Consider the following 8,460-nt stretch of genomic DNA (forward strand, 5'->3'; position numbering starts at 1 on the left):
GGGAGTGGGGAGGGATAGCATTAGGAGATATACCTAATGTTAAATGATGAGTTAATGGGTGCAGCACACCAACATGGCACATGTATACATATGTAACAAACCTGCACTTTGTGCATATGTATGCTAAAACTTAAAGTATAATAAAAAAAGAATGAAATGTTTAGAATTATATAGAAAAAAATAAGAGTATGTTTGAATTATAAGAATCAAAAGAAGAAAAAATAAAATTGACCAAAATTATTGGTGTATTTTGATTAACTACTTATTTCAATGAGATATATAACTAAATATAGTTAGTAAAGGGCTAAAATACTAATATTGTAGATAAATTTTGGAAATTTTAATTAAACATAATTGGAAAAGTATTTTCCAAGTCCTAGGTCTATTTATTCTGAAAAAGTTTAGACATTGTGATTCAGTTATAATTTAGACATATACTACAAGGTAAATTGCATTTCTGTTAATACTATATTTTTCTAGGTATACAGTTTATAGATAAAAGGGAAAACGTTTCAAAATTTAACTCAAACTTGTATATTATCTGAGTTTATATTAAAATCATGGAGTGTAGTCTCTTACTTGTATCTTTACATTTAAAAAGATTTTTTTGAAGTGATATATTGATTAAACAGACATTCTGCAGAGTTGAAATTAAAATGTACATACCATATAAAAGGGTCAGTCAGCAAGGATTGCTTTTGAAATTTTACGTCCCAGACAGCCATCAGGCAGCCAGCAGAAAAATGCCTTTCGTAGCCATGGAATCTCCAGTTTATATCTCTGACATTATGTTGAGATTTGACAGATGGAAGCCCAGCAGTAGACACACAAAGTGGATGCCAAATGAGGCACATATACATAGCAGAGTGGTGCCCCAACCAGGTGGTCATCTTCTCCTTTCCAGAACCTTTCACATGGCTCAGTCCAAACTTGACTATGCTGTAGCGATATTGACATGTTCTTCAGTCAGTGGTGAATGTCAGTGGGCTCTTGGATCTGTGCATAAGAAACTTTAGCATGCTTTCTGCTCTGTACATATGTCCAAGTTGGCAGTGAGTTGGCATGGTTGCTGAAGTGTCTCTATCTGTCAGAAATCCTCCTCACCTTTGGGACAGAGATAGACAATATGAGTGTGTCAGCAAGAATGCTATCATTGGCTGAGAAAGGATGTCCTTGGAAATAAAAATTTGGGGATATTTTAGAAGCAATTTTATAAGTTATCTCTATAATTTAAATCAAGGATCTATTAATCTTCTCTAATACAGGAAAAATCCAATTAAAACAGAAAAAAAATTATGGCAAGTTTAGCTAAGATTTCCATAATCTTTCATAGTTCATTATCATACCTTGAGCAATTGAGCCATGAGTAGAGATCAAGCTTGTGGAGGACTAGAACAGATTTCTAACATAACATTATGCAAGGTATTAAAAACAAACGAATAGCCAATATTTTTAATAAATTAAAATTACATGAACAGTTGACAAGAAACAGAATTATGCAAGTACTCTAAATCAAGCTCGTCTAACCTGCGGCCCCAGATGGCTTTGAATGTGGCCCGATATGAATTTGTAAACTTTGTGAAAACATTATGAGATTTTTTTGTTTTTTTTTATTTATTTAAGCTCATCAGCTGTCGTTAATGATAGGGTATTTTATTTCAGATCTAACATTTTCTAGCTGTATGGCTGAAGACAATTCTTCCGATGTGGCTCAGGGAAGCCAAAGATTGGACACCCCTGCCTAATGTTCACTAATAAGTTTCCAAATATTTTCAGCAGGATGTGTAAGTTTCTGCTCTCATATGCACATATGTCTATACTTCCCATTTATTCTCCTCATCACCCAGCTAATGGAAGACATCCAAATCATTTTTGCTTCAAATTTGTCAGGTAACCTTGAAATAATTGGTTGAACTGGCTCCATTTTAAATGAACTTCTCTATTATCTTTTCATGTCCGTAATGTTATTTTTAATTGTTATATTCATTCATTCATCTATTCATACCAACAACTATTTACTGAACTCATGACCTCCTCCTGTTCAACACTTAAAGAAGTCCCTCCAACTCTGCTTCCTAACTAATTGCATGAATCACTATCTGCTCACTCAAGACAAAAACTTGAGAAACATCCTTGACTTTTTCCTTTTACTCATGTTTCACATGCAACCAGTTCTTAGTCTTCTAATTCTATTTCCTAAATGTCACAGATCAGTCATCCTGTTTCCAAAGCCAACAGCAGTATTTTTTGCTATGTATTCAAATAACCATGAATAAAACTGTTCAACCTAAACGTTGGGAAATATATCAATGTCATTCTCTTTTATGATAGTAAGGACACATTTTTCACAAAAGGATAAATATTACCACTTTTAGTCATCCTTGGAAGAATAATTGTGAAATAGTATGAGTAGGGATTAGAGCAAATTATGGAAATAAATTTTTCCTCTTGCATAGGAGTGGAGGTGAAGGACAATTGAATCTCATTTTTAGATGTGGAAAAGTTGTTAAAATGCTCTTTAAAAAATTAAACTTATTATTTCACTGACACGCCTATATCAGGAATGGAAACCTTAAACTTTTGCTTTTTTTTTTTGGTGGTATTGATAGGATAGAAACAGCAGACAAGAGATTGTTAAGTCCCTATGCAGCCTGAATCCAGGACATTTCTGGTCTACTACAGGCCGAGGGGGCTTACCTGAGTTCTAGTTCGATGGGTGAGTAAGCTGCCCAATGCCCTCCAAGAAAAAATGAATAATAATATCTAGAACATTCTAGGGCAAAATAAAGAAAGAGAGGACTTGAGATAAGACTGGAAATACTGGCTGGAATCCTGACATCAGTCATCATTGGTTAAGTCCTATGTAGTTGCAATGGAAATTAGTGGCTACAAACATGAGATCTGGCAGTAGATTCGGCCCATGAGCTTGAATTTGGATCCTCCTGGGATCTTTAGCAAATAATTTACCTTCTCTGTGTCTCAGTATCCTCATATAAAAAGAGACATAATAATAATAACACCCATCTTGTAATTGTGTGATGAGGTTTAAATGAGATAATACACATAAACATTTAGTACCCCATTGGCCATGGAATAAGTGAAAAATAAATGGATGATATATACTAACTCTGATTGCAATTCAGACCATATAGCTGAAAGTGCAATTTATACTGACTTCACTTCCACATTCTACCTGCCTCCAGGTTGCCCTCTCTAACTCATCCTCCACCATTGCTCACATAATTGCCAGAATGTTCCCTAAAACTAAAATTAATCATGTCATTTCCCCAGCCTCACTTTTTCTGGGAACTCTTCATAGCTTTCAGGTTAGATCAAAACTTCCCAAATTGAAATGTTAGTAGGGTGACCATGATTATTCTGGAAGGTTAAGAGTGAGAATTTGCACTTTTAATTACTTTGGACAGCAGGCATAACTCTGGCCTATCCCAGGCAAACAGAAACATGAATACAAAGTCCTTCTGGGGTCTGTTCTCCAACCTCACCAGTCAGTTTCCTGGTCCTTTGCTGCAGCCACACAGAGCCAACAACTGTCCTTGAACTATCATATTTTTCTGTGCCTTTGTACATATCACCTTCTTTGCCTGATAACCATTACAACCCTCACTCTCTCCTCCTCATTCATTCACAAAATTATTTGTGTTCTTTTAAGCCATTGCCAAGTTTTGGAAATCTCCCTAGATTCATGAAATCTGAATCATTTATGTTTCTATGTGTAATGCAATCTGGGCTTTCTTTATCACTGTAGAAATAAAATGATAATAGTTGCCAGATATATAATGTCTTCAATGCCAATTACCCTGATATCAGGATGATTTTTTTATTTGTGTTTTCTCTAAACAACTCTGCAAAGTGTACTTATAATTTTTGAATTTTTAAAATTCAAAAGTAAGTGGTGGAGACAATGTTCAAGTTCAGATAGATCTGTAACTAAGCACATCTTTTCGCCAAATTGGCCTCTCAATTCATCAAAACACTTATTACAAAGAATTGTGATAAGCTATTTATTATCTCTCTGCCTACATTATAGATTTCTTGAAGGTTAATATTATTCTTTATTCATTTTTGCTTTTAAATTTTCTGTACCTTAGTCCAGTGTTTGGCACATGATAAGAGTACTATAAGTGTTTGATGAATGAATACATCACTAAGTCTTGACCAATTCAATGACTTCGTGAAAAATAGCCAGTGTCTTTCAGTTCAAAGGCATGCTTCCTGAGTTCTGTACCATTGGACATATTTCTTCACCATGAATGGGGCTCTGATTCTTATATCTCAGTTGACTACCTAAGAAGGTCCTGGAATCCTAAAACCAGCACTGGGTTAAAGCATTTATAAAAAGGTCAAGGTAATCTACACATATGGGAAGGCACAAAGGGAGTACTTTATAGAAGGATAGTGGATCAGGAAAACAAAACATTTACTATATGATGCATCAGGAATTTTAAATAAAGACTGCCTCCATTATTTTGTTTTAGAATTAACCAGAAATGCTATTTTTCAACAACTGGCTGAGAGCATTAGCGAAATGAAAGTTTTGATAAGGTTAGGAAAAGGAAGAATGAGAGGTAATTTTGGAGCATAAGGGTACTGTGGAGGAGGCCAGGTCTTAATGGGATTTTGAAGCAGGGGACTTTGGATAGCTAGATGACAATATGGCGAGAGTGACAGTATGGTGGCTCTGAGATTCTGGTGATTTGGGGAAGGGAGGGTCAGCTCATGAAAGAAGGGCAGTGGCACAGAAAATAGTTTAGTGCTGGGAACACCGAAAGGCAAAGCGAATCTGCTGTTTGACTCTCATATTCCTGTCGACCGCAGGCTGACTGCTGCAGGCACAGATGGAATACCTCATAAACATGATTCCTTGTACTACGGAAAGAAAAAGTGTCTGAGCATACTTTATGACATGAGCAGCTGAGCATGCAAACCTTTGGAAGGATCTGTGGAAATCAGTGACCTTTAATGCTTTGGATCTAAAATGTTAAACTCTTGCTATGCTATCTCAACACAATACAGAAATCCTCCCAGTTTTTATTTCTACTTTGGTTTTACTTGAATTACAGTGGGTGTGATTATGCAATATCCATAACATAGGGAGAAACTTAGACTATCAGAGCTAGAAGAGGACTTATGAATCCCCTAATTCAATGACCTAATTTCATAAATGAGAACATGGAAGCAAAGAGACGTTATATGATTCGCCTGTAGTTACTCAGCTAGATTGTAGTAAGCTAAGCTGGTCCAGGTTTCTGGTTTCTAGATTCAAGCTTCAGGTTTTCTTTCCAGTAGTGCACAGTTCCAGTGATAATTATGTTATCAACTTACTGCTCTCTCTACATTGATAAATGTCTGATAAACAGTTGTTACATATATGCATATGTGTGTGTGTGTGTGTGTGTGTGTGTATAGAGACAGAGAGAGAGAGAGGGAGACAGACTCTCACTATTTTGCTGGACTCAAACTGCTGGGTTCAAGCTATTCTTCTGTCTCATCCTCTCAAGTAGCTGGGATTACAGGAGAGTGCCATTATGCCTGGCTTGTTCATATATATTTGAATATTTTAGAGCTTCATATAGTTAGGGAAGTCAGGATATTTCTGATGAGAAGGGGTAGATGCTGCTAAAGTCGATGTATAACACTGAAATATGAAGTATTGCTAAATTTATTACTAGTAGATAGAAGTATGGAGGACAATAGCAACTTATAGGAAAATGTACTTCAATTAAGAGGAATTGCACAATGACACAATTGTCTCTTATATTACACTCCTTTTTTTTTTTTTTTAAAAAAAAACTTGTTTCTTAATATGTAGTCTATAGGGCAACACTGTTGGCATCACTTAGGAGCTTGTTCTAAATACAGTTTCGAGTCTCATCCCTGACCTACTGGACAAGAATTTGCATTTGGAACAATCCTCAAGAGATTTATATGCACATCGGATTTTTGAGAAGCACACTTCCAGAGCACTGACTTTTTTTCATTTTTTCTCACCTTGAAATAAACCCTAGAAACTGATTTTCTTTTTAAAAGCACCTATGTCTGTATGAAAACTCAGATCAGGCTTTTATGAGGCTACAAGTACAAGAGAGTTAAGGTTGGGGTAAGAGACCTTTATGTTTTCTTCCAAAAATAAAAACTGTTGATCTGTAAAGGAACTAAAGTTGAAGCAAATATAAACTGGAATTAGATCACGATTTTGGTCTTTTCTGGTTATTTTGGACACAATACCAAAAGAGTTTCTTTATTTGTTACAGGTGAGAGTAATTATTCCTCAGGGCCAGACTCCTCAGTGAGGTGCCTCATGGCCCTGAGAGTGGGAATCACGCACCCTGGCCACCTTACTTGCCTCCTCCCAGTTCCAGCCTGTTATTCCTACACCACAGCATTTTTGTGGGAAGTGCAAGAGGAAGGTATTGGAAGGTGCCATTTATTCTTCATTTATTCAACAACCACTCATTGCACATCCTTTATAGCACAATAAATGAGACATTGTCCAACACTGAGAACATCACGGTTTGGATAGTTCAGAGGTGGCCTTCAGCAAATCAGTGCTGCAATAGGATCCTGAAACCAGAATTCTCTCTCACCTCTGCCAGTATTGAACACACGATCTCAAGCAAATCTCTTGGTCTTCTTGTGTCTTGATTTCCTCACGCTTAAACTGAGGGTGCTATGCAGGATAACCCTCAAGGTACTTTGCATCTTTAGAAGCTTATATTATTCTTAACTATGCTAGAAATGCTGAAAAAGCGTGGAATTTTGGAGTAGCCAGATCTAAGATAAAATCTTCAAATCACCACTGGGTAAGCTTGGGAAAGTTATGTAGCCTATCTGTAGCTCATTTCCCGTCTGTAAAATGGAGTCATATTGCCAGCCTTGCAGGCTTGCATGCGACCGTCAAATAAAATCAAATGTGTAGCTGGCATCGTATCCATAGAAGGTATCAAAAATGGGAGCTATTATCAGGACATTTTTACAGGCTGAGGAAAGTCTCATTTCCTATGAGAGGCATGGCAAATGGAAGGCTCAAGTTACTGTTTGCATTCTTCACCTGTGAAGGTGTCCATGAATTGAAATTAGCACTGTGTGTGAGCCTCATGGGATTTGAGTGTTGCTAAGGCAACCACTAATTTCCAAATCAGGGTAAACAGTTTCACAGAATGTACAGTTTCCTTTAACAAATTGGATTCCAGTGAGGGGTGTACCTTTCCTTCCCTTGCTGCTCTGCACCCCAGTTAGGGTTGTGCACCTGCAGATCTGTGTGCCAGGGGCTACTTTGATCTTCTGCCAACCACACTCTAAAGGTAACAGTCAGTAACAGAGATCCCTGAGGTCTGTCAGCTTTACCCAGTATTTACCTTTTGTATGTTGTCAAGTTGGAGTCACTTTCTTGACTCACACAGTAGGGCACTGAAACAGCTCCTTGGCACATTCGTGTGATAGACTTCTAAGCAAAGAGGCCATGCGGTTCGCAGTCATGTCGTTCTGCCTTCCTTTCCCTGCCTCGCAACAATCCTTATTTCCCTTACTCACTCAGGAATTCCTGCAGAGAATGAACCTATTATTAAGCCAGCATTGCCTCTCTGCTACATTCTTGTGTTAAATTAGTCCTCTTCATTGTTGCAAATAATAGGCAACCACTTATATATCAATGAAAATTCACTGCACTGCTGTGGGATTATTTCAGCTCTCGATAAACTACACATTCCTGCCATTGTTTATGGGTAGCGATTTTAAGTCCCTCTTGCTTCCTTTTAAATCTTTTCTTGTGGGAGGTATGGCCAATCTTCCTCATGTACTTAGCTTATTTACTCCTTGAACCCCTCTCAACAATGGATACTGTAATAGTGGCATCTTTTTGCGATAATTCCTAGTATTGGCTCCTGCTTTTGAATATGCCAGGAGCAAAGCATGGATACAATACTAAAAACACATAGAAGCATGCTAATTACCTTCTTTAGAATATTTATGATTTTTTTTCTTTTCTGGTCAAGTTCTGAAATCAGAAATAGCTCTACTAGCTTTTTCACAGCTACATTAGGAAAAGAGCTTGGTCATTCACTTTTGCTGAGGTTCCACCTTGTGCCAGGCACAACATTACGCCTCTTATGCATGCTATCTCGCTTAGAATTTAATATAACTCTGCAAAGTAGGTATTGGTTCTGTCCATTTTACTAATGTGGAAACTGATTGGAATTTTTAAAGATTTAACATAAAAAAATTTAATCTGGAAAACTCGTGTATCTCTGTGGTGCACCAAAATTACTGATATCATTCACTAAGCCAGACATTTTTCCCCATGCTAAAAAAGGGCAAATATATGTATATCACACATAAAAGGGAGCATATACAATGTATATATTTACTGTAAAGAATAAATAGTAAAACAGACACTTATGTGCTCACCACTCACATAAGGAAAAGAATTTACCTTCCTACTGT

General features: G+C 36.9%; 1 annotated feature.

Moving 5' to 3' along the window:
• Positions 7,253 to 7,970: an enhancer, noted in NCBI's record as "NANOG hESC enhancer chr3:81940530-81941247 (GRCh37/hg19 assembly coordinates)". NCBI's record gives its function as "activates a minimal SCP1, AML or CMV promoter by ChIP-STARR-seq in primed H9 embryonic stem cells {active_cell/tissue: H9 hESC(primed)}" and the evidence as "EXISTENCE:reporter gene assay evidence [ECO:0000049][PMID:30033119]".

Source organism: Homo sapiens, chromosome 3, assembly GCF_000001405.40.
Source record: "Homo sapiens chromosome 3, GRCh38.p14 Primary Assembly".
In the NCBI taxonomy this organism is placed as follows: domain Eukaryota; kingdom Metazoa; phylum Chordata; class Mammalia; order Primates; family Hominidae; genus Homo; species Homo sapiens.